The 27,986-nt window shown below is 38.6% G+C and overlaps 1 protein-coding gene across 1 annotated transcript in view; it reads right to left on the bottom strand.

Annotated features, from left to right (window-relative positions):
- Positions 1–27,986, bottom strand: part of IMPG2 (interphotoreceptor matrix proteoglycan 2) — a 98,030-nt gene that overhangs the window by 13,824 nt on the left and 56,220 nt on the right. Inside the window, exons 10-14 of the mRNA NM_016247.4 lie at positions 21,160–21,404; positions 17,327–17,412; positions 9,433–9,736; positions 7,160–8,418; positions 6,319–6,538 (exon numbers count right to left, since the gene is read on the bottom strand). Coding sequence (NP_057331.2) covers positions 6,319–6,538; positions 7,160–8,418; positions 9,433–9,736; positions 17,327–17,412; positions 21,160–21,404 — 2,114 coding nt within the window. The remainder of the gene's footprint in view (positions 1–6,318; positions 6,539–7,159; positions 8,419–9,432; positions 9,737–17,326; positions 17,413–21,159; positions 21,405–27,986) is intronic.

The following is a 27,986-nucleotide window of genomic DNA, read 5'->3' on the forward strand; positions in this document are numbered from 1 at the left end:
TGTGAGTTACATACAAAACTGAAGTAAGGTGGTGGCTGCCAAGATGGCCAAATAGGAACAGCTCCAGTCTGCAGCTCCCAGCGAGATCAATGCAGAAGGTGGGTGATTTCTGCATTTCCAACTGAGGTACCTGGCTCATCTCATTGGGACTGATTGGACAGTGGGTGCAGCCCACAGAGGGTGAGCCAAAGTAGGGTGGTGCGTCACCTCACCCGGAAGTGCAAGGGGTTGGGGTACTCCCTTCCCTAGCCAAGGGAAGCCATGAGGGACTGTGCCATGAGGAACAGTGCATTCAGCCCAGATATTATGCTTTTCCCACTGTCTTCGTAACCTGCAGACCAGGAAATTCCCTTGGGTGCCTATACCACTAGGGCCCTCAGTTTCAAGCAAAAAACTGGGCGGCCATTTGCACAGACACCAAGCTAGCTGCAGGAGTTGGTTTGTTTTTGTTTTTGTTTTTCATACCCTGGTGGCACCTGGAATGCCAGCAAGATAGAACCGTTTACTGCCCTGGAAAGGAGGCTGAAGCCAGGGAGCCAAGTGGTCTAGCTCAGCGAATCCCACCCCCACGGAGCACAGCAAGCTAAGATCCACTGGTTTGAAATTCTTGCTGCCAGCACAGCAGCCTGAAGTCAACCTGGGGCGCTCGAGCTTGGTGCAGAGAGGGGCGTCCACCATTACTGAGGCTTGAGTAGGTAGTTTTCCCCTCACAGTGTAAATAAAGCCGCCCGGAAATTTGAACTGGGTGGAGCCCACCACAGCTTAGCAAAGCCTCTGTAGCCAGATTGCCTCTATAGATTCCTCCTGTATGGGCAGGGCATCTCTGAAAGAATGGCAGCAGCCCCAGTCAGGGGCTTAGAGATAAAACTCCCCTCTCCCTGGGACAGAGTACCTGGGGGAAGGGGCAGCTGTAGGCGCAGTTTCAGCAGACTTAAACATTCCTGCCTGCTGGCTCTGAAGAGAGCAGCAGATCTCCCAGCACAGCACTCAAGCTCTGCTAAGGGACGATTGCCTCCTCAAGTGGGTCCCTGACCCCTATGTCTCCTGACTGGGGGACACCTCCCAGCAGGAATTGACAGACACCTCATACAGGAGAGCTCTGGCTGGCATCTGGTGGGTGCCCCTCTGGGACAAAGCTTGCAGAGGAAGGAACAGGCAGCAATCTTTGCTGTTCCGCAGCCTCCATTGGTGATACCCAGGCAAACAGAGTCTGGAGTGGACCTCCAGCAAGCTCCAGCAGACCTGCAGCAGAGAAGCCTGACTGTTAGAAGGGAAATTAACAAACAGAAAGGAATAGCATCAACATCAACAAAAAGGACGTCCAGACACAGAAACTCCATGCAAAGGTCACCAACATCAAAGACCAAAGGTAAATAAATCCCTGAAGATGAGGAAAAACCAGCACAAAAAGGCTGAAAATTCCAAAAACGAGAATGCCTCTTCTTCCACAAAGAATCACAACTCCTTGCCAGCAAGGGAACAAAACTGGATGGAGAATGAGTTTGATGAAGTGACAGAAGTAGGCTTCAGAAGGTGGGTAATAACAAACTCCTGCGAGCTAAAGAAACATGTTCTAACCCAATGCAAGGAAGCTAAGAACCTTGAAAAAAGGTTAGACGAATCGCTAACTAGAATAACCAGTGCAGAGAAGAACATAAATGACCTGATGGAGCTGAAAAACACAGCACGAGAACTTTGTGAAGCATACACAAGTATCAATAGCTGAATCAATCAAGCAGAAGAAAGGATATGAGATTGAAGATCAACTTAATGAAATAAAGCATGAAGACAAGGTTAGAGAAAAAACAATGAAAAGGAACAAACAAAGCCTCTGAGAAATGTGGGACTATGTGAAAGACCAAACCTACATTTGATTGGTGTACCTGAAAGTGATGGGGAGAATGGAACCAAGTTGGAAAACAGTCTGCAGGATATTATCCAGGAGAACTTCCCCAACCTAGCAAGACAGGCCAACATTAAATTCAGGAAATACAGAGAATCCCACAAAGATACTCCCCAAGAAGAGTAATCCCAAGACACATAATTGTCAGATTCACCAAGATTGAAATGAAGGAAAAAATGTTAAGGGCAGCCAGAGAGAAAGGTCGGGTTACCCACAAAGGGAAACCCATCAGACTAACAGCGGATCTCTCTGCAGAAACCCTACAAGCCAGAAGAGAGTGGGGACCAACATTCAACATTGTTAAAGAAAATAATTTTCAACCCAGAATTTCACATCCAGCCAAACTAAGCTTCATATGCAAAGAAGAAATGAAATCCTTTACAGACAAGCAAATGCTGAGAGATTTTATCACCATTAGGCCTGCCTTACAAGAGCTCCTGAAGGAAGCACTAAATATGGAAAGGAAAAACCAGTACCAGCCACTGCAAAAACATACCAAATTATAAAGAACATTGACACTATAAAGAAACTGCATCTACTAACGGGCAAAATAACCAGCTAGCATCATACTGACAGGATCAAATTCATGCATAACAATATTTACCTTAAATGTAAACAGGCTAAATGCCCCAATTAAAAGACACAGACTGGCAAAATGGATAAAGAGACAAGACCCATCAGTGTGCTGTATTCAGAAGACCCATCTCATGTGCAAAGACACACATAGGCTCAAAATAAAGGGATGGAGGAAAATTTACCAAGCAAACACCAAACACCAAAAGCAATGGCAACAAAAGCCAAAATCGATAAATGGGATATAATTAAACTAAAGAGCTTCTGCACAGCAAAAGAAACTATCATCAGAGTGAACAGGCAACCTACAGAATGAGAAAACATTTTTGCAATCTATCCATCTGACAAAGGGCTAATATCCAGAATCTACAAGGAACCTAAACAAATTTACAAGAAAAACACAAACAACCCAATCAAAAAGTGGGTGAAGGATATGAACAGACACTTCTCAAAAGAAAACATTTATGCAGCTAACAAACATATGAAAAAAGCTCATCATCAGTGGTCATTACAGAAATGCAAATGAAAATCACAATGAGATACCATCTCAAGCCAGTGGAATGGCGATCATTAAAAAGTCAGGAAACAACAGATGCTGGAGAGGATGTGGAGAAATAGGAACACCTTTACACTGTTGGTGGGAGTGTAAATTAGTTCAACCATTGTGGAAGACAGTGTGGTGATTCCTTAAGGATCTAGAACTAGAAATACCTCCCATTGCTGCCTATATACCCAAAGGATTATAAATCATTCTACTATAAAGACACATGCACATGTATGTTTATTGCGGCACTATTCACAATAGCAAAGACTTGGAACCAATCCAAATGCCCATCAATATTAGACTGGGCAAAGAAAATGTGGCACATATACACCATTGAATACTATGCAGCCATAAAAAGGATGAGTTCGTGTCCTTTGCAGGGACATGGATTAAGCTGGAAACCATTATTCTCAGCGAACTAACACAGTAATAGAAAACCAAACATTGCATGTTCTCACTCATAAGTGGAAGTTGAACAATGAGAACATATGGACACAGGGAGGGGAACATCACACATGGGGGCCTGTCAGGGGTGGAGTGCTAGAGGAGGGATAGCTTTAGGAGATATACCTAATGTAGATGACTGGCTGATGGGTGCAGCAAACCACCATGGCACACGTATACCTGTGTAACAGATCTGCACGTTCTACACATGTATCCCAGGACTTGAAGTATAATAAAAAAAAAAACTGAAGTAAATGTATTTATTGTAATTCTCTTTATTTTTTATTTTTTATTTTTTTTTAGAGACAGGTTCTCACTATGTTGCCCAGGCTAGAGTGTAGTCGTGTGATCATAGCGCATTGTAATCTCAACCTCCTAGACTCCAGCAATCTTCCCACCTCAGCCTCCCAAGTAGCTGGAACTACAGGCATATGCCACAGTGCCCAGCTAATTTTTCAGTTTTTCTGTAGAGATGGAGACTCACTATGTTGCTTAGGCTGGTCTCAAACTCATGGCCTCAAGCAATCCTTCTCCCTCAGCCTCCTAAAGTATTGGGATTACAAGTGTGAGTCACAGCACCAGGCCTGTAATTCTGTTTAAAAATAAGTAGATTGACCTTCGCAAAAGTTTTATAAATCATAACTGTTTGCATTTGTATAGTTAGTCAAATGTTTTATATATACTACTTGTTTATGCTTAGAATAGTCTCATAAAATACAGAGGCCAGGCAATATTACCCCCATTTAATATATGAGGAACTAAGGGTCAGGGATAAAATAGCCCATCTAGGGTCACACAAATAATAAATTGTAAAGCAGAAGAAGAAATCATTCCTTACAAATTATAATTAATTGCCTCTTCCACTATACCACATGACAAAGAATGTGCAAATGGCCTTAGAGAACTCAAGTGGTAAGAGATTTGGATATGAAGGATTAGTGAAACCATTTTCTTCACTTTCAATGAGTAATGATTCTTAAAGATTTCAGAAGAAAGTTCACTTCTTTCCTAAAGAATAGGGCTGACTTTCAAACCAGTTTGAGATTCAAAGGCACTGGAGAAATACAAAGCCAGGCATTCCTTCTCACTCCTCAACCTCTGTCTCTGGTATGTAGAAAGGAAGGAAGAAGAAAATTTTACATTTCAACAGTGTTCTCTGCATCCAAGGCTTCCAAATAAAAGCAATGATTCATTTCACTCATTCACAGTATTTTTGAGTACCTTCTGTGTTCAAGACACTATCCTAAGTTCTGGCTAAAAAGTATTTAATAAAACAAACACATTCTCAGTCCTTGTAAAAAGCTCATCTGGAAAAAATAGCCATTAAGCAACTATGCACATAAATTAACATTATTACAATGATCATAACTCTCTAGGGGAAAAGAACATTGTACTGGTAATATAAAAACTGACAGGAAAGACTCAGTCTAGACTACAGGTGAGTCAATGAAAAGTCCTGAGGAAGCGACATTTGAACTGAGGCACATGGGTGAGCAGGAGTCAGTAAGAAGGCAAAAGTGGACAGTGTGTGCAAAGACTTTAAGGCAAGAAGAAGGTTTTGTATCTGAGTAACAAAAAACAAGCTGGTTTGACTAGAACATGTTGAGCAGAGGTTAGTTACATTGGATATCGGGGAAGAAGATGGGGACCAGGCCTTGTGGCTACTGAACCAGACAGCCATTCAAGAGTACCATGGGGGCTATATGGAGGATGGATAGGAGGAGGAGCACGAGAGGATGTGGGGAAACTGGTCCAAAGGAGAGATCATGGTGATTTGGATGGAGTCGTACCAATGGAGATAGAGAAAAGAGCATGGATTTGAGATATACTTAGAATTCAGAATCAGTGTAAGTTTGGTGAGTGACTAAAAGCTCCAGGTGTTAGGAATTGAGGTATCAAGGATGACTTCTCTGGCCAGGTGCGGTGGCTCACACCTGTAATCCCAGCACTTTGGGAGGCCGAGGTAGGTGGATCACCTGAGGTCAGGAGTTCAAGACCAGCCTAGCCAACATGGAGAAACTCCATCTCTACTAAAAATACAAAAAATTAGCCAGGTGTGGTGGCAGGTGCCTATAATCCAAGCTACTCGGGAGGCTGAGGCAGGAGAATTGCTTGAGCCCAGGAGGCAGAGGTTGCAGTGAGCCAAGGTCACACCATTACACTCCAGCCTGGGCAACAAGAGTGAAACACCATCTCAAAAAGAAAAAAAAAAAAATTATCAGGTTTCCAGCTTAAGTAGCTGAGTAGATAAAGCTTACATTTATGGAGAGAGAGAGAGAGAGAAGCTGAGAGAAAGAGTAGATTTAGCTGGAGAGTGGTGAGATATGGAAAAGAAGAGCTCACTCATAGCTATCTTAAATTTGATATACACAGAATACATTCAAGTGGAGACTGTCAAGTAAGTAGATAGATATTGATTCTGGAGGTTATGAGAGATGTTTGGTCTGCATATAAAAAATGTGGAGAGTTATTGACATTTATATAAGGCTTAAGACAATGCACATGGATGCAAAAACTTAAAGGGAAGATGGCCCAAACCTTGCAGTGACAACATGAAGGCATAGCAAGAATAGATCCAGTAGGTAAATAAAAACCAAAGCCAGATGTAGTGGGTAGAGAAAGGAATGGAGGTGAAATAATAAAGTAACATGTTTGGACGATGTTTTGAAAAGGGAATGATATTGATGTTCTTGGGAGAAATATTTTACTAGTTACCAAGATGTGGAAGATTTGTCTGACATAGTACTCTTTTTTCCTGCAAGTATTGGATTCACCTTAATGCAATGAGGAAGAAAACACACAAGAATAATCACTGGATTCTACTAAGAAACCACCATGCTAGGCAATATCATACCTGATTCCACATCAAGAGAGTATTTATCAATAGCCAAGTTCATGGTATTGTAGGCAGTGGTACAAAAGTCTTCCAGAATCATGTACACCGCATTGTTGACGTTAGGAGGGACAGAATTGGCAAACTTCATTCGACTGTTCACCACAATGCTGCCATTTCTGAAGTTGAGGATTTCTAAGTTCTGGAACCCCGTGAGATTTGACTGGAGATAGGGAACCAGCTACAATATACAAAAGTGGTAAGTTTATTGACAGCGTGTCACATTTTGTTCAATACATACCCAAACAAAACAAAACAAAAACACAGGTAAGACCCTGCCTCACTTTTCCTAATTGTATTTTATCTACACTTAAACTGTTAATTAACAAAAGTACAAATTAGGAATGATTTGACAGTATAAACTAGAAATGCTATAAGATTTTCATAGTGATATTTAGGAACCCCATGGAATTCATACATAGTTTTAGACACTCAGAGAGTTTATTCTCTGTTTCACTAAAGGATCACAACAGTGGAGGCAACATAGGTACCCACAAAACATTAGCTTCACAGTAAAATGTGAAGAGAAATGTCAAACTTACTGTAGTCCCATAATTCATGGAAAACAATCTTCCTTGTAAATTATCACATCACTCTCATGCCACTTTTGTGTTTTCCATTTCTTGTATGTCTTACTGTTTTCTTACCAACCCTAGGCCATGATACTATTTGTGAATGATAGGAAGTGAATGTTCACAGCAGATCACACTTTCCCTGGCTCAGACCTTATGTGCTAGAGGGGAGGAGGAGTCGGTCATACATGATTATTCACTAGTGCCCATGTTTCACTTTTTATGCTTACCAATTCTAAGAATCTTTGCTCCAGGGCTTTATACTCCAAGGAGTTTTTATTAAACAGATCTTCTGAAAACATCATGTTAGTCACTCGGAGGCTGAAGAAAACCACCAAAGCTCCTGAAGTCTGGGTATAACTCAAGTCATCTCCTCCTTCTGTGGGCCAAGCCACACTAACCATCTCTGTGGAGTGAACACTTGTTGACATTTCCACATAACTACCAACCTTGCCATTTTGCTCTTGGACTTGCTCAGGCTGATAGTAATCTGTGCCTATCCGGTCCAGTTCTAACGAAATATCCTGTACACCCATAATTACTTCATCCTCTAGCAGGGTGGAGATTGTGGTTGGAGGCAATTTGGTAGACTGTGTCACAGATAACCAGAGCCTGTCAGCACTCTGTGGTGTACTTGCCAATATGTCTCTGGACAATTTCTCTAGGGAAGAAGTTCTTGTCCAAACTCTCTCTGATTCTGGCAATATAGTCCACAAAGTTTGCATATCTGGCTTTACCATTGAAACCTCACTGTCAAACCATTCATAGTTGGATGACTCAGTAATTTGTTCCATATCCTCCCTTAGGATGGCATCTGCCTGATCTGATTTATCAGTAGAGGCAGAGATTGCTACAGATGTCAGTATAAGAGGTGCTTTGGTAACTGAGTAATCATCAACACCAGGTACTTCTGATATGTGCTTGGGGAGGGTTAGAGACGCAGATTCAGCTGCAGTATCTGCGAAGATGGGCACAGCAGGCCCACTAAGAGGCTCTTCCTCTGGAAAGTGTGTGGATCTGTCATCATGTTCATATTTTGAGTGCTTACTAATTTGGTCTGTGGAATCCATTTTGTCAACTAAAACTAGTTTCTTGTCTTCAATCTCAGCTGGCAAAAGTGAATCATCATCTTCAAGCCACGGCTTGGACAGTGGTTCAGCGCTCTTCTCTGATGAAGTCTCACTCCATGGCCAAGTAATCAGATCTACCTTTTGCCCAGACCCTGAACCTAAACCACCGTCAAATATTAACTCTTTTTCCATGGATGCATCTGGCAGGAAAGGGCTCACTTTTAATTGGTCTTTGACTTTGGAGGTCAAGGAGTCCAAGCCAAAAGGTATAGAAGAGGTCAGATATGGTGAAGATGTTAAGGACACATCAGAGTCTTCCATGGATGGTATTGTTTCTTTTGGCACAGGTTGAGTGAATGAACTTGAAGGCAATGAATCAATAGAAAGAAAATCTTCTGACTCTTCAACATTGGCTAATCCTAAAAATAAAGTTTTCCATTAATTAATCTACAGAGTTGCCAAAATGTATTCCTAGTTCTCCTAATAAAACTAGTTGCCTGTTTTTTCCCTGTGAAGTTAAGAGGGACAATTGTTGACTTTTGCTTTTCTATATCTAGCAAACAACAAGAAGATCTGATCATGTGTTTGCAATATGGGACAGTCACTCATGAATATTATCTCCTTCTCGAGGATAACAATACCTTGACTATTGAAATAATCTTCAAACACTTGTTTTTTTTTTTAATTCCACGAAAATAAAGAACTGCTGGTAGTAATTTTGACAACAAATACTAAATCCAGCAGTAATTTAGGAAGAAAATTCCCTGAACATTGTGTTTCTCTTTGAATTCTCATTTTGCCTGTTATGTTTATTGTCCATCATCCTTCAGATTCACTCGATGTTCACAATCCTGAACTCATTATTTATATATTTCTTCATCTTCCTCATTTCACATGTAAACTCCATTCCTAAGTCACATTTATTTTTCCTTTCTTCCACAACATCTAGATTATCTATTTCATTTTCACTTCTTTATCTCTGCTGTGGCTCCATGATTTCGCTTCTTCCCTTCACAATACTACTACAAGTAAAAATCTTTAGACTTGGCCCCCACAACTAATTGTATTATAACCTAGTTGAATAATCTTCTTTGGTGCTATTTGTTTATTACTCCAATATTTAAGTAAAGTGGCTCTTTAATAGTAGTAGCAGTAATTTAACTAAACTATATACCCTTCAATATGACCTTCAAAATGTCTGTTAATTGATCCCCACCCCAGCTCCCCAAGTTTATTTCTTATTATTTACCTATTTGGATTCTCCATTCCAACAAATTAAATTTGATTGTTTCCTCTCACACACAATTTTACCAAGACATTTTCCCCCTAATGAATGCTACCATGTTTTTTTCATAGCCATAGTCTCTTCCTCTCTTTAAAACCCCTGTCATCGGATACAATAAGAAGTACGAAAAGCAATTAAAGTTTCTCACCATCTTCTACCAAGTGAGATCCAGAAGTCCTTTCCTCAGAAGCCACAGGCAAGCCAGTCTGAAGCACTGCCGGGGTGACAGAATGAAGAGTCAAGCTGCTAACCTCTAAAACCTCTGGGGAAGAGCTGAGGCCCATCTTCGAGGGAAAGGCTAATTTGTGTGTAGACACTAAATCACCCAAAGGACTTTCTGACCAGAGTTCCCTGCCAGTGGCTGAGGGAGGACCAGAGCTGAAATCAAGTGGTGGAATACTGCTGGTGATGGATTCATCTGCTGAGGGCCATGCAGCTTGAAAGGTATTATCCTGGGGGGAAAAAAAGGCTAAATCATATCATAGATAAAAGAAACATATAAAAAGTGATTTTAAATACCACCTATCTGTCTATATTCCCAGATCTTCTAGGGACAAGGAGGCGGTGTATTAATAATATTAGGAGTAGGAGGAGACATGGGCTCCAGAATCAAACAGATTTATAGTCAAATTCCAATATCTAGAGAAAAAGTATATCACCTCTCACCTGAAAACCAAGGACAGATGAGGTAACATATTTAAAAGCCCTCAAACAAAGTGAATTTGTGAGAGAAAATTTTTTTTGCTTTAGATGGTTCATTTTCCTCTGTGTTTTTAGCTTAAATGACTTTAAATATATAGAAGTTACTGTTATCTGTAACTTGTTGGCAAAGATCTAAGTACATTGCCCACAGCAGGAAAGAACAACTGGCAATTTTATTCATCATTCTGAAAAGATAATTAGTTAATGAAGGCCCTCTAGTTTGGTCAGAAATGTCACCACATCAAAATGTAGTCTGGTTACCTCAAATGAATAGCCACTCCTGTGAAATGGTATCACACTTAGGAAACATTAACAATTTCCTCTTTCTAGTGATGTTTTACTAATGTACTACTAATATTATCTTAAAATGTAGCTTCAGAAATGGAGAAGAATACAGAAACACAATCCTTGAACATGTTAATTATTTAATTTTATGAAGAACTGTCTATGTAAATGTACAATGATCAGCCAGGCACAGTGGCTCAGGTCTATAATCCCAGCACTTTGGGAAGCTGAGCCAGGAGGATCACTTGAGGCCAGCAGTCCAGACTGGGCAATATAGCAAGACCGCATCTCAACAACAACAAAAAATTAGCCAGGCATGGTGGCACACACCTGGAGTTCTAGCTACTTGGGAGACTGAGGGAGAAGGATCACTTGATCCTGAAAGTTCAAGACTACCATGAGCTAAGATCAACCCACTGCACTCCAGCCTGGGCTATAGAGCAAGACATTGTCTCTTAAAAAAAAAAAAAATGTTTAACAATAATGCTAAGAGGTAAAACGACCATGGTATTTGGCAGAAGTTTATATAGTTCAGTCTATTCTGGATTCTGAATAACAAAGATAGATAACTACAATCCACAGGGAAAAAACTCGTAAAATATTTCCTGGGTGTATGAAAACTGAAAAAGGAAAAGAGAAAAGAACAATCCTTTTCAGTCCTAAGAAGGTATTTGAGGCCGGGAGTGGTGGCTCACGCCTGTAATCCCAGCACTTTGGGAGGCTGATGCAGGCAGATAACCTGAGGTTGGGAGTTCGAGGCCAGCCTGATCAACATGGAGAAACCCCGCCTCTGCTAAAAATACAAAATTAGCTGGGTGTGGTGGCACATGCCTGTAATCCCAACTACTTGGGAGGCTGAGGCAGGAGAATCACTTGAACCCGGGCGGCGGAGGCTGTGGTGAGCCAAGATTGTGCCATTGTACTCCAGCCTGGGCAACAAGAGCAAAACTCCGTCTCAAAATAAAAAAAAAAAAGTAGGTATTTGAATAACATGGAAGCTTTTGAAAAACACAAATTCCCAGGCCTGACACTCAGAAATGTTAACTTAATTGGTCTGGGAGGGGAACCTAGACATGGGTACTTGTAAAAGTTCCCTAGTAGAGGAAATGGTTGGATCATGTTCTGGGCATAATATTCCAGCCTGTGTTTCTAATGTACTTCTTCAATTGCTGAATGATTTTATTTCTTATCAACTGGAACCTTTAAGAAATTTCCCATATTTATAAGTCTATCAAAAGACTTGAATTCATGCTATAGCTATGAACAAAATGAAAACCGCAAATAAGAAATGCTGAATCGAACCTCCTCCCCCTCCTCCAGGAGACTTCTATCAGCAATATTAAATTTGCACTGACAGTCTCTAGTCTAACATGCTTTTTGAACAAAAGCACACAATTTTAGGGTGGCTAACTAGAGTTTAGTCTATGGCCGTGAAATAAAACAGAACATACTGGCCCATGAAGAGAGCTAACCCAAAACAAGGTGATATGGTTTGACTGTGTCCCCACCCAAATCTCATCTTGAATTTCCACGTGTTGTGGGAGGGACCTGGTGGGAGGGGATTGAATCATGGGGGCAGGTCTTTCCGTTGCTGTTCTCGTGATAGTGAATAAGTCTCATGAGATATGATGGTTTTATAAAGGGGAGTTTCCCTGCACAAGAGCTCATCTCTTGTCTAACACCATGTGACACGTGCCTTTCACCTTGTGCCATAATTGTGAGGCCTCCTGAGCCACATGGAACTGTAAGTCCATTAAACCTCTTTCTTTTGTAAATTGCCCAGTCTCAGGTATGTCTTTATCAGCAGCGTGAAAACAGATTAATACACAAGGCCTAATTAGTCTTTTATGCTTTGTCTTCACAGTGCCCCTTGTCTCTCTGTCAAAGATCTGTGTGAGAAGGCTTTGAACTACACACTCTCCCAATCACAGAGGAGGGACCATGAGGCAAGAAACCACCAGGCATGTCCTACTTTGTCCCTTCCCCTAGTGACAAATGCACAGGAAAGATGGTAATAACAGAAAGTCATTGGCTCTATAGAGTGTTACCCACAGTTTCATCTACCATCTTAAAACTAAAAGCACTCTGTCTAACAATCTTATTTTCTTTTGTGGAACTCAATTACAACATCATTTCCTGCCTTGTCCATGTTGTTTTCATTGGTTCCTATTTTAAGTGGGTCACCATGCTGATTATTCTGTATTTGTCACCACCACTTCAGATCCTTCTCTTCCTGCCCTCTGCCCTAGGAGGCTGACCCCTGTGATCTGCACCACCCCTGCTCCCTTGCATTTGTTTTCTGTTTGAGTTTGGCCAATGGGAAACATAAGCAGATCAAACGACAAGAGGAAGGAGAGGTCAGGGTATTTCTTCCCTGCTTCCGCCAAGCCTCAATACTCTGTGTCTAGCATAGCTGTGCTTCTCCCTCCACAATTACAGCTCCAGCTGTCAGTGGGCTCTAGTAACAGCATTTCCTCTCCTTCCTCTGTAATCCAATGGATGGTAGTGGCAATTGCTTCCCACTGTTGTTAGTCTCTGCATACCTCAACATTCTTTTTTTGCTCCTTTAACCCTATCCACATCTCCATTGGTAGATTCTTCTAGATGATTCTGTTACTGTTGAGACCCTGGATGAGTGATATTATGCAAATGTGCCATCATTTTATAATACAGTGCATTTAAAAATCCATTAAAGTTTAAGTCATTTCTGTCAAAAAGTGATTAGACAATCCAAAATGAAATATAAATGCCCAGCAAATAAGGAATGAGAATCACTTAAAACAACAACATGAACCAAAAATGATATCATTCTGGCTAAATGTAAATTTAGCCAGAAAATAAAAATCTGGAAAGGGAAAAGAAAAGTGATAAAAAGTATATGATGCAATGTTAGCAAACATTTTTGGCAATGTAGCTTTGGTTAAAAAAAAAAGAAATAGAAGCAAGATATATCTAGGAATTAGACTGGAGTCTAATAACCAAATCTTCTGAATCTGTTGACATGAAATGTATGAGAGAAAAAGCAAGACATCTGTAAAGAAAGAGGAAGCCAGAGGCCATCATCAAATGATCTGAGGACACAAAATTCCCTCCTGGGGAATCCCCTAACAGAAGTGACCCTGAGGATAATATGACATGTTTCATGATTCATGTCAAAAAAAAAAAAAAAAGATCTAATTGGAGAGATGACTTCTCGCACTTTTCTAGTAAACTTTAGGAGCACGCAAGTCTGGGAAACAGAGTAAGACTCTGTCTCTACGAAAAACATAAAATAAAAAAAAATAGCTGGGTGCCTTGGTGCACTCCTATAGTGCATTCCTATAGTACTCTGGAGGCTGAGGCAGGAGGATCACTTGAACCCAAGGAGTTTGAGGCTTCAGTGAGCTATGATCACACCACTGCACTCCTGCCCAGGTGACAGAGCAAGACGCTGTCTCAAAAAAACACCATGGAATTACCAGGAGTACTGTTAACCTTACATAACTCTATTCAGTAGAGGTGGCTTGCAATTGCTGACCTGTGTGCAGAGTGCTCCTACATAACTTAGCACCAAATAGACATAAAGCTGGTTCATATTTCTGCCTAGAGGGTCTAAGTTATTCTGAGTCCTCAAGAACATAGGAGATAGAGCAAGAGTTCATTTCCAGAGAAATGGAAGACAACAAATTAAAGTCCAGAAAGTGAAAGGCAAAAAGTTAAGTAAAAACATCAGCTCTTGTCTTGCTCATGTGCTTTATGAGGCCATCCTTTGGCTTGGAAAAATCTTACGTTGGGAAGAGGGGCTGAGCATGCACATGTATGTGAACATAACAAAATTATCACATTTTACACTTAGAAGGACTCAAGAACACATGTAGTACAACCATGCCTGTTAGAGAACTGAGGATCATAGAAGTGAAATGCTCAAGGACACACAAAAAAAGAGAAAAAAACAGACTGGAAGCAGCCAAGTCTCTAGATTTCTCAGTGCCAGTGCTTTTCCCACTAACAGCTATTCATCCAGAGGTCTCTACAAGTATATATTCCCAAGTGATAAAAGGATTTTCAGAGGAGAAACTAGAGCAAACAGACTTGGCAGTCCATGCTCTCATTTGGGTTAGCATATTCCACAGGTTTATAAGACCCAGGTCAACACAGATAGGGAGTGTGGGAGGCCATCTCCTAATATTCAAATACCTGCTCTATGGAATATGGAGCCTATTTACATAGAAAAAACTTTCCAGCCTTCCCCTTTATTTTTCTAGGATTGAAAACTACATATGTAGTCAGGGGAAAGAAGGCCATTTGCTCAATACCAAGTTCTGTTCTTCAATAAAGTAGTTACAATGATGATGATCATACCATAAGAGGGAATTAACTTTTTTCCTTTTAATTGTCTAAAACTACTTCCAGAGATGTGTTAAAGCTACTCATATATTCTTGCAAATTCCAAATGTACCTTAAAAAAAATTCATGTGAGATAGCTTAAGCCCTTCAAGCCATGCTTAAGAAATTGAGTTTTATCAGACAGAGCGCATAACCTGGCACACATTAGGAAAGCAGCTGAATCCTCAATGAAAAAGAAATCCTCAAGCAGTAATATACCATTTCAGTATATCTGTAAACAAAATGCCTTTTCACTTCATAAAAATTAAAAGTAAAACAATACATAAAATCTTTTAAAAAGTCAAGTCACTAACAGGCAACATAAAATGTGAAAGTAAACAACTTGACTTTTCAAATAAAGAAGAAAGACCATCCCTTCCAGGATAAATATTCCCTAAAAAATGGCATGGCAATGAAGCTTTCCTATACATTTTGAAAGGTTAACACATACATGCCAGGAATAGCCCTTCATTAATTTTTCTATCCATAGATGTTCCCGTAGTAACAAATTTAACTTGTGCATTCTTTTAGTTCAATGTAGTATATTGACAACTTTATTATATTGGCCAGTTTCATTTCTGCTACCGCCAATTGAAAAGTTTGTTAGTCCTAAAGAAAGCACACTGTACAAGTGATTTTCCAAGTCAGGGTGCCAGAAAAGTGTCAAATTCAATTTCCCAACATTCCTAGCTCTAAAATAACTTTTTTTTTAACTCTTTGAATAAAGCCTTTATTACTAATAATAAAAACAATAAAATGACTAGTAATACAATTATGGCAGCTCTGTATATAAAATAATTTTTAAAAATAAGATCTGGGGGGAAAAAACCCACCTCACTTCTATGGTAGAGTAAAATCTTGCTAACAATTGGCAAGGGCATGAAGAAAGGGAGGGAAGGAATAAATTAAAAAGAAAGTAGTAACTAGACATTTCTAATTAATCATTCCTTGTTTTCATGTCTTATCTCCCATTAACGTTCTGATGTCTCCTTCAATTGTTAATGATTGTCCTACAGTAATCACTATTCAAAAAAGAAAGGAGTTGGCGTCAATGCAAATGAAAGCACTGCAACGTAAATGAACAAGTGAGCCCTATTGGTGCTTGCCATCATTAAGCGGCAGCCACAAGCTCCAGCCACTTTCTGCCACAAGGGAATATGAACTTCAGAGTAGCAGATCTTCCTGGTGTTCAAAAGAAGCCAGAAATCTACATTTTTATGTAAAAATCTCCTAGTTTTAAAATATTGACTTATTTTTTAAAATTTGGTCCCAAGCTGCGTGTCTATAGTTGGATCCAGCTAGTCTCCAGTTTGCAGCCTCTGGCTTATATACAAATTCTCATCTTTACAATATGATTCTAAAATATCATCACAAAGCTCCTCCTGTGGTTAGAGAATGTGATTAAAAGCAGAGAGTAGTGGCGCTGTCATCACTCCCTGCCACTGGACCCTGGATGGACCTCTTGGACAATATCTGCATCACCTTGTTTAGAAATCTGTCTACTACCACCAGACTAGAAATTTGTGTAGGCAGAGCCACACCTTATTTGTCTTAGTTTCACAAGCACTTGGCACATGGAAAGCACAAAACAAACATATTTGAATGAATGAATAAGTGAATGAATAAATACACACCAAATGAATGTACTCTCTGTAAATCTCTTCTAACCTATTTTGTCTAATATGTAACTCAGTGAAAAGATTGTTTTTAGTAATTCTACATTGTAATATTGAGTTGCTCTATAACCTAGTAGAAGAAATGGCTGCAGAGATTAATGGTTACATGAATTAAGGGCAGGCTTTCTGAATTTCCATCGCTCCATTAAAGTCGAGAAACAAGTAATTCAAATAGCTGATATGAGACAGAAAATAAATTTTAAGAGGGAAGAAAAGCAAGGAATGTAGATGACAAGGGAGTCCCCCTACTGTTTGTATATGATAACAAAAGATTCCTGTATTCATTGTAGACAAGTAATTCTGTAGTGGTTTTTAGTTGTAGATGTTATCATTGTTGTTTAAACTATGCTGTTTCTTTTCTACTATGTAACTCCCTACAAGTGAAGTGGCAAGTGGAGGTTTAGAGGGGGAAGAGGAATTCCTGATGCATCTGGGTGGTAAGAACAAAAAGGAAAGTTCATCCCATGCTGTTTCTATGCAAGCGGGAATGTTTTCAGTCCAGGTTACAAGGAGGCCTGATTTAGAATCCCTGTCATCTGTCAGCTAGTGGATGATATTCTTTCTCTCCCTTCCATACACACACTGTTCTATGTGTTTTGGAGTTTAATCATTTTTTCACTATAATCCTTGAAACAAAAAATCTACGCTCTATACCTAGTACATCAATTTATCATGTTGGCTATAAAATCTATTTCTGGGTAACTCTCAGAGAACAATCAGTGGGCACTTAATAGCCTAATTATCACTGAACAAGTAGGAACCATAAATAAGGTTTCTACCCTGTGTGGAGTTTGGCAATGCAGACTTTATTTAATCACTGCAGAAGGCTTAAATTTTCTGAACCAACACTTGGTACCCATGAGCTGACAGCTATGAGTAATGGTCTAGGGATGATGCAAGAGAATAATTGAAATGAGAACAGCTTGGGAAATTTATAATGCCAAAGTAAGCAGGTGCAGGAAGAAAGAAGAGAAGCTTGAGGGCCTGGTTCTAGCATAAAACATAAAAACATACCAGAATAGATGACGGCGTTGCCTGAAGACTTGAACTTTGGGTGTTCCAAACTAGATCTTCAGTTTGGTGACGCAAAACTCCTCTCACTGAGGAAAGAACAATATTAAAGAACATTTTTAGATGAGGCCCTATTGTATTTGAGGTGCAGGGACAACTGAAAGTCAAGTTCTTTCTCTTCATTGTTTAGATTTTGGCAGAAAATACGGGACACACTTACTTAGAAAATGTTTGTTACTTTATTCAGATATTTTATTTATATTAGCACAATCTGCCTGAATTATAAGAATCTAACATAAAATAAAGATTCTTCCCATTATCACATTTAGGACACTCCTCTATTACTTCCTTTCCTTTCTCAAGTTAGTTTTTATTCTGTTCAAGATTCCTATGAAGCGCTTATTTTTAAATTAATTTTTAAGTAAAAAAGTTGTACTGAAATTTCAATTCCTTTGGTTTATGCTAAGAATGGTAGAAAAGCATGCAAAAATAATTGCCTTTTGGGAAGAAAGTACCTTTGAAAACTGAGCTAGGACACCAAAAATCTTTGTCACTGTAATGATATTAAAGAGCAACATAGAGAGTAGATTATATCATTTATTTCAACAAAAATTTAATGAATCCTTGCTAGTTACCACAGGCTTTGCCAAAGTTGAGGCTATAAACATCAATAAAGCCAAGTTTCTCTTCTAGAAGCATTGCATATATCAGAGAAATAAACACAAATTACAAAACAACATGAGGGGCATGTATACAATGTATGGTAATACAGACAAAGAAGTAGCTGATTTTGCCCACGGGGGAGAGGGAATCAATAAAAGCTAAAAAGAAGGGATTGCCAGGAGAGTGATCTGGTGTATGCAACCAAAAACAGAAGTAGAGTCTCTTTATCCACCTGTTCCCACTGGCCTCACATAGAGATATCAAGCAAAAGTCAAAAACCCTATTTGGCTTAAGTATTTTCCAAAACTTTTAAAAACTATGTATACAATTATCTTGTCTTCTATGAAAAATAAGCTCCACAAGATCAAGGAGTGATGTGGTTTGGCTCTATGTCTCCACCCAAATCTCATGTTGAATTGCGATCCCAAGCGTTGAAGGTGGGGCCTGGTGGGAGGTGATTGGATCATGGGGGCAGATTTCCTCCTTGCTGTTCTCATGATAGTAAGTGAGTCCTCAGAGATCTAGTTGTTTAAAAGTGTGTGGCACTTTCTCTCTCTCTCTCTCTGTCTCTTTCTCTCTGACTCTCTCTCTCTCTCAGTCTCTTCCCCTACCTCCCTCCTGCTCCACCATGGTAAGACGTGCTTGCTTCCCCTTCACCTCTTCACCTTCTGCCATGATTTTAAGTTTCCTGAGGCCTTCCAGCCATGCTTCCTGTACAGCCTGTGGAACTGTAAGTCAATTAAACCTCTTTCCTTCATAAATTACCAAGCCTCAGGTTATTTATAGCAGTGTGAGAATGGACTAATACAAGGAGGATCATATCTTTTGAGATAGTGATCAAGTTACGTAGAAAGCTGCCGCCATTCAGAACTCTGAAGTTGGCCTGACAATAGCAATAAATTTTAGGGACAAAATTCTGAGTAATTGAAATATATGTCTAATGAAAGCCCAAGACACTTGAATTAGTTGGTACTAGATATTGTAAAGCTTTTGTTGAACTTGCTTACAAATTCTAAGAAAGTTGTTTACCTCTTTTTAGGATACCTTTATGAAAGTAGCTCCACCAACAGGCTCCACATAAAAGGAAGATCTTGCAATACTGTTTGTGGATATAGTTTCCTAAGCAACCTCTTTGTTTATTGTAGACCTTAATCTTCACGCCATTCTCCTACCACTCCAGTTACTGACCTTGGTGTTTGCACCTTCTGCTCAATGTAGGTTCTTAACTCCCTTAGGTCATGATCTCCTAACTATATCTTTTCTCTGTCTGATCCCAATATCCTGATTCCTAGAATCTTCTGCCCATATGCCATCTCCATGGTTAGCCCCGGCTAATCTCTATTAGCATTGCCAGAGGGACTTCAGCAGTTTCAGATTATAACAAGCTTCTTATCTGTTCACTATTTTATCTAGCCCTAGTATTCCAACAGAGATTCAACAATGACAAAGAAGTATATAAGGAAGTGAGCCCAGGATAACTGCTCCAAAATATAAAGCCTCCCTAATGTTTAAGAATGAATAGTTCTATAATACTCTCATTCACTGAAGAGAGCATTTCTCCATCTTAAAGTCCTATGTAATTCATATAAAGCCCAGACCACTTTGTGACCCTGTCTCAGCAGAGTGTCACATTAAAAAAAACGTTAGTCCAGCAGCCAAAATAGTTGAAAGCAATGTAAAGTTTTAGTCTGGCCTCTCAAGAAAAAGAAAAAAGAAAAGAAAAGAAAAGAAAGAGAAAGAAGGAAAGAAAGAAAGAAAGAAAAAGAAAGAGAGAAAGAAAGAAAGAAAGAAAAGAAAGAAAGAAAGAAAGAAAGAAAGAAAGAAAGAAAGAAAGAAAGAAAGAAAGAAAGAAAGAAAGAAAGAAAAAAATATCTTATTTGGGAAATAAGAGATTAAATCACACACAGTAAAATCTTTTTAAAAGTTTTTTTCTCTCCCTTTCTCACTTTCTCTGTCTCTCTCACACACACACATACACACAAATGCACACACACATGCACATATGTGCACACACACACATACACATATAACTGCCTGGAAAGACAAGACTTTTCTTTGTCTCTCTCTAAAAATTCTCCTTCCAAGCCCCAACTCAAAAAAATCTTGATTCCTATGTTCTTCCCTACCTTGCCTTTTAAATCTACTATTCTCTTTCATTATTAATTTTCTGATCTTCCTATGTAAATCCAACAAGCCTCTCTGGCTTCTCTATTTTTGTTTATTTATTTGTTACACACACACACAGAGAACTAGGTAGTAGCTGCCTGGAAGGACAGGACAGAGGCTCTTTCCTCTTTAAAATGTGTGGGAGCTAGAGAGGCTGTAAAAATGCATCATTAGCATTGCCTCACATGAAGATTTTCCTCCTCAGCAGCTGGTACTTCTCCCATGCTGTCACTTCCATAACGTATATTCCACTGAACATTTTAAAGCTAAGTTACCGATGAGTAAAGAAATCATGGAGAATAGAAGCAAATGCAAAGTAGCAAGTGAGTTAGCAGGATACCGTGGCCCTGATGAGTTAAGATGCTGCATACTGGTAGCCAGAATCTTAGCAAGTTTTAAGTCCCAGGTTGACTGGGCACCCTGTAGCCTCCAAATCCAGGTTAAACACCCTCTTCTTCATGATCTGTCATATCCACCTGTTCATTATGGATCATAACAGGATCTCCACAGCAATCTGAATTTAAAGTCAGTATTGAATTATCTGAGATTCTGCATGGCAACCATTATCACTTCTTCTTTGACCTAGATCTCCCATGACCTTTCTTGAGCTCTTCCTTTTTCTCTACACTCTGATTTTTAAGCCTTTACTAGCTGACTTACCTCAGAGAGGTCATGTCTCGGTTGTCAGGGAAGTATTATAGCCTGTTTCAATGCACACTTCCAAGTACTACTTTCCTTTTTCTTATGCTTTGCTCCTATTTCTCTAAACTACTTCTAACTGCCACTTTCCACACTCTGTGGCCTTTTGTCTACAAATATTCCAGAAAGCCCCGGATTAATCTATCCAAAATAGCTGCATGGCTAAAACTCCATTCATATCAGGTTGGCTCCTGTCTCATAAAGTCTAGAGAATGGTCAGAACCTTATATATTTCAGGAAATTAGTTTACACCAGAGCATACTGGAAAAGAAACTATACAAGGACTTCATGATGGATATCAAACTCACCATTGATAAGCTGCAGGGAATCAGGATCTGGATTCAAGGAAGAGTTCCCCAGCAAAAAATTCTGCTGCAATGTCTCAGCAATATAATCTCTGAAGTTACTGATTGTATAAACAACAGTGGGTTTATCATCCAGTTCCACAAGGCCATGGTTTTCCACCTTGTTGGAGTGAAGGCTAATGAGGTCCCAGGTGGTATTGCTGATGGCCTCACCATTGAAGGTAACTGCATAGTAAACATCTACGCCACTATGGATGGAAAGAGAGAACAGGTTAGGTTCAGCTAAGGAAGCACAAAGAAAGGAGCATTGAACCCATGAAGAACAAACATTGGACCTAGAGGGGGAGTCTCAAAGAGCATGGATTCCATCACTTTTCTCTGAAAAGCCTGGACAACATTTTGCCATCCTCTCCTCCTTCCCAGAGAATGAGGGGTCATAGCTCTAAGAATAGGGAAAAGAATTCTAAGGAGGCCACAGAGGCAACCCTGCAGGATGATCTGAGCATCTTCTTCCCCTATGTTCTCACTTCTCCTATCCTCTTTCAAAGGCAAGTCCTCCCTCTTCACTATGAGCCTACTTCCTTCTTTTCCTATTAGCATTTTCCCCCTAATTTTTAAAAACAGTCTTTCTAATTCCTCCTCACAATGCAAAATCACTTCATTATTGTTGTTAGACAAATTATGTACTGGAACATAGTTATTTATTGTGGTAGGAAAATTATGAAAAACTTGGTACTAAAGCAAATTGATGATTATTTTCCTTTAAAATGTTGTGCTGGAGTATTTTCTAATATGACAGTTCTTTCAGGAGACATACTTTTGTTTGATAACCTAGACAATTTACAGTTCTATAAAGTTTAAGACTAAATTGTAAAAAAACTATTATGAAGTAATTTTTTTCTTGGCCTGGTAGGAAAAATATCTCTAAAGTTATATTTTTACCACCCTCCAGGGCATTAACCAATTTTGTATGTAACTTAGTAATCTGTTCCCAATTAACTATGTGAATTTCTCTTTTTCAGATACTCTAGAAACAAGCTCTCTCTCTCTCTTTTTAAAGCTAACTCCCTCATTAATGAATTATGTAAAACCTCAACAAGTACTAACAAACAGCACTTGTCTGGGAATTAGGCTTTTTCTCCATCAACCTTTCCACAAGCAAAAAAGAGGAGACTTCTTGGAACACAGGACAGAAAGACAGAAAATAAATAAGCATGAGTTGATGTGTTGACATTTTCTTAACTAGTCTTTTGGAGAAATAACATCAGAATATAAAATTTTAAACCAAATAAAAATATTCCTCTAGACTCCAACTCAGATTCCTCTAACTAAAAGCTAACAGTTTGTAAGTGCTGATAATGTGATAGGTATTTTACATGCTTTATCTCATTTAATTTTCATAATAACCTGATGAAAGATATTTTAGCTTCAGAATATTGTTGAGGAAACAAGCCCTTAGAGCAGTTAAAAGACTTCCTTTAGATTTCTTAAGATGTAATATGTGGCAGAGTCATAATTTCAACACAGATCTGTCCAACCCCAGCCCCTACATTCTGAACTAGTATGTTACCCTCTCAGTAGCTTCAATTAAACTATTACCCAAAAAAGTAATTATGAGGGCAGCTCAATACCACTCATCACTCTGGCTTCCAGCCAGTCTCTGCAGGACATCCATCATAGGCAGTAAGAACCCAGCAAGTCACACCAAGATCCCTCCAGAGGAAAGGAGAATACTACCTTCCAAGAGACAAACCACTCAAGACAGACGTGCAGTAAAAGTAATTCACCACTTTCAGACATTCCACAGCAGCAAACTATTCTCAAAACAAAGCATAAAAATAAATTAATGAAAAATTGAATAAAATTTAAAATAATGTGCTTCTTCCTCTGAACTTATATATTCTTATCTACTTCTTTACTTTAGCCTTCGTTGTTTTGTACAAAGATTTTGTTCACAGTGACGGTGTCTCAGTCTCTCCTTGAGTTTCTATCCCCAGTGCTCAGCTTGGTACCTAGCACAGAGAGGTACCCAGTGCCTACTAGATGAACAGAAATATATACTTGTCTGAAGGCAGAAAGAAAACCGCAGCACAATCAAGGTATTTACATATCTAAAGGAAAGTATCAACATAATAAGGATGATATCATAGAGTCTAGGAAAAAAGATATTAGTCAGCTAATTTATGTTACTAGTTAGTGGAAAGCTTCTGACCAGTATATTGGGAGTTCCTTGTGAAATAGATCCCTAGATTGGAGATGGCTACAATAAGCTATCATGGCTAGATGATACTGGCTGTTGAGATCATCCAACTTCCTCTTTTTGATTTCAAGCTTGTAAAAGAAACTTTTGATTATAACTCCCTACAGATTTTCTTATGAGGAAAGAATGCATGAGCCAGTCAATGCTATAATAATTGATTGGTCTGTTGGCACATATATTTCTCATTTTTAAGTAGATCAACAGGCATCCTAGAGAATTCATTGTCTTTTATGGTTTGGTAAGCATGAATCGTCTCAAGAGACTTCTTCCTGGGAGCACTGGTCTGGACCTGGCCTGGCCTACATGGCACAGATCACACACCCTGGACTGCAGGGAAAGCCATAAACGTGACACTTCCACCTGCCATATAAGGAAGCAGCCAGGCCTCTTGGATGTTCCTGTCTTACTCTGAGTGACTACAATACTGTTTTCCTCCCAGATATAACAGGATACCTCTTCTAATGCAGTGGTTCAGAGCTCTTAAAAGTAGTAACTGAGCACTTTGACACCCTGATGCTCTAAGTAGTAAGAACATCTGCTTGTCTCTAGAACTTTCCTCAATCCTCTAAGCAATTAAAGTATTTCAATTTTGCACATCTGAGTATGTTGATTCATAGGTAATTCCCAATATTATTTATAAAGAAATCAATTCAGTAAAATATGCTAAAATATCAAATGATGGTTCCAAGATAGAATAAAACAATAAGAGGGTCACCTACCGATCAGAACTCACCACACCATAGTCACCCTTGCTCTTTATTAGCCTTCAGTCATTCTGATAGACTGGCAGACCATAGGCACCTGCTCTGGTTCTGGATCTTTGCACATACATTTCCTTCTCTCTCCAATTCCTGTTATTACCTCCCAACCCTTATATCTTCCACATACACATGTACACACACATACAGATACCTTCTTCACCTGGCTATTTCTATTTTACTTCAGCTTAGCTGTCATCTCCCAGGGAAACTTCTTTTTAACATGAAGACGTGGTTGGTGCTCATGTTCTATCTCCTCACCAACTATACAGGCACAATTACTTTTTGGCTCTATGTCCCCAGCATCTAGCACAATGCCTGGCTCATAGCAGTTCAATACATACTTGTGAAAATAATGAAGAAACAAATGGTCAATTTTGTTCCCTAATGAAGGCAGATAAGACAATTGAATTTATGCCACTTAAACAACAGTACATGATATGCCTGACTTAATCTGAAGCATCTTCAGACTCTAAATATAACAGAGCAATTTTTAACCCTAAAGAACGTTCGTATTAGCTTCATATATTTGTATCTTCTGGTTAATCATTTTAGAGACATTGTTTCCTGGCCACAGCCCAGCTCTGTGAGGATGTGCATGCTCTTCCAAGTCTTAGCGTGATAGACCATATCTACCTCTCCAGAAAGGTGAGTTTCTTTTTCGGATTTTTGCACAACCTATTAAACTTACTTCTAGTGTAAACATGACTCTAAGATAAAAAAACTTTAAGAAAAAAAGAAAAAGGAGGAGGAGGAAAGGCTATGTCAGTTAGCACTTCAGTTGGTTCTTAGGCTATGCAGAAAATCAGACAAGGAGAGTCAAGCATTTACTGGGAGCCTACCATATGCCTTGCATGACTTTTAAATGTAATAGGGAAAAGATCAAGAGAAATGTTCCTGGATCAAGAAAGCTATGCAAATCAAGCAGTCTGGAATAGATTACTAGTGTTACTCTTTATTGGCAAAATATTTGCCTCTCAATGTTTCCATTGGACATCTAAATATAATACTTCTATTATAATCTACCTTGTCTAGTACAGATAAGTTCATTAAAGAAGATAAAATGCCTCAGAGAGATGTTATAATTTGTTACCATGTTTTTGTTCTGGAAAGGGAACTCAAATAAGTGCTTGAGATACCAGAAAACCATCTATTTTGAGTGCCAAGAACATCACTGTGACTCAGAACAGACAGAGTTCTGGCATAGTAATGGGGTACAAATATATCTCAGGATGAGGTACAGAATAAAAGAAAACCAAGAGGCCAAGGAAATACATGAGAAGCAGAATACACATTGGTAGATAAAATGGTATGTGATTGAAGAAAGCTGTGCTGGCTCTCCATATTCAGCAACTCCAAGTTAACTAACCACCACTGGATCATCATCTTTCATCTTTTGAACTGGACTCATGCAGCTGCTATACAGAGGAGAGTTTCTGTGTCTGACAGCTATTTCCAAAGACATTAATCACATGGAAGTGAAGTTTATCCTTTCTTATTCTTTCTCCTCAGATGCCCTGATTGACTGTTTGATGCATATATTTTTAAAAAATTAAAAATAGTGCTATCACATTTCATCAAGATCAACCAAAATAAGGATATTTTGGAGAAACTCAGACATCTCTTCTTTTATAGCTTCTTTTAGGAAGAAGATACATACTGAAAAAGCCTGAAGCTAAATATATAAATTGGGTATACCAGATGGATATGTTGTTGATTCACTTCAAATGCATACTACTGAATTAAAATAATGAGTACATTTTAAAAGAGGTACAGAGCAAATAAAAAAACTTCATGTGCATATAAATGCTTACAGAGAGAGAGAGAAACGGTATGTTATATATCTCATAGACTATTTCTGTGCTATACATTCATTTATACACAGCTCAGAATATAAGTACACCCAAAAGTTACAAATAAATTTTATCAGCTGGTTAATTCCTGACAATGCTGAATAATTTTGAAAACTATACCTAGGTTAGCAATTCTGGGTGACATCACTAATATGGCTGACTAGAGACACCTGGTACTCATCCCCACACTACAAGAAAGGATCAAAGCAACCACAAAAATAAACAATGAGAGAAGAAATAAGGAACAAAGAATATACAAAACAACTAGAAAACAAACAACAAAATGACATAAGTTCTCTACTGTGAATTATAACCTTGAAGTTAAATAGGTTAAATTATCCATTTAAAATATATAGACTGGCTGAAAGGATAACAAAAAAAAAAAAACAAACTATATGCTGCCTACAAGAAACTTACATGACCTATAAAGACACATAAATATCTAGAGTGAAGGGATAGAAACATATATCCCACACAAACAGAAACCAAAAGCAAGTGGGAGTAACCATGCTCAGACAAAACAGACTTCAAGTCCAAAGTTGAAAAAAGAGACAAAGAAGGACATTGTATAATAATAAAGGAATCCATTCAGCAAGAAAATAAAACAATTATAAATATGCCTGCACCCAAAATGGAGCACCAAGACATATAAAGCAACTATTATTAGATATAAATGGAGAGATAGACCCCAATACAATAACAGTTGAGGACTTCAACACCCCATTATCTCCCTAGAACAAATCATCTAGAAAGAAAAATCAACAAAGGAACACCAGATTTAAACTGCACCACAGACTAAGTGGCCCTCACAGATATTTACAGAACATTTCACTGAACAGATGCACAGCTGCAGAATACACACTGTTTTCATCAGCACATGGAATATTTTCCATGACTGACCATATGTTAGGACACAGAACAAGTCTCAAAAAATTTTTTTATCAAAATTATATCAAGTATCTTACCTGACCACAATGGAATTATACTAGAAATCAAAACAAGAGACAAATTTAAAACTATACCAATAAAGGAAAGTTAAACAATATGCTCCTAAATGATCAATGGGTGAAGAAATTTAAAATAAAAACAAAATATTCCTTGTAACAAATGAAAATAGAAACACAACATACCAAAACCTGTGGGACACAGCAAAAGCAGTAGTAAGAGACAAGTTTATAGCAATAAATGTCTACATCAAACAACTAAAAAGATTTCGAATAAACAACTTAACAATGCATCTCAAAGAACTAGAAAAGCAAAAACAAACCAAACCAAAAAATTAGCAGCAGGAAAGAAATAATAAAGATCAGAGCAGAAATAAAAGACATGGAGACCAAAATAAATATACAAAAGATTAACAAAACAAACAGCTGATTTTTTGAAAAGATAAAAATCAACAAACCATTAGTTAGACTTATGGTCTATAGCATTCTACCATTACTCAAAGCAATCTACAGATTCAAAAAAAAAAAAAAAAGAGAGGACCCAAATAAAATCAGAAATGAAAAAGGAGACATCACATCAAATACCACAGAAATGGAAAGGATAATTTAGAGACTACTATGAATAACCATATGCCAATAAATTTGAAAACCTAGTGGAAATAAATTCCTGAACACATTTAACCTACCAAAATTGAACCAAAAAGAAACTGAGCAAACCAACAACAAATAACAAGATTAAATCAGTAACAAAAAGTCTACTGAAAAAGAAAAGTCCAGGACTGGATTGCTTCACCACTGAATTCTACAGAATCTTTAAAGAAGAATGAATACCAGTTCTTCTGAAATTATCCCAAAAAATTAAAGCAGAAAAATTTAATTATTCCAAAACAAGACACGTACCTGACAAAAATTGAAAACTACAGGGCAAAATCCCTGATGAACACAGATGTAAAAATCCTCAACAAAATATTAGCAAATCAAATCCAATAGCCCCTCAAAAAGATAATACACCATG

Source organism: Homo sapiens, chromosome 3, assembly GCF_000001405.40.
Source record: "Homo sapiens chromosome 3, GRCh38.p14 Primary Assembly".
In the NCBI taxonomy this organism is placed as follows: domain Eukaryota; kingdom Metazoa; phylum Chordata; class Mammalia; order Primates; family Hominidae; genus Homo; species Homo sapiens.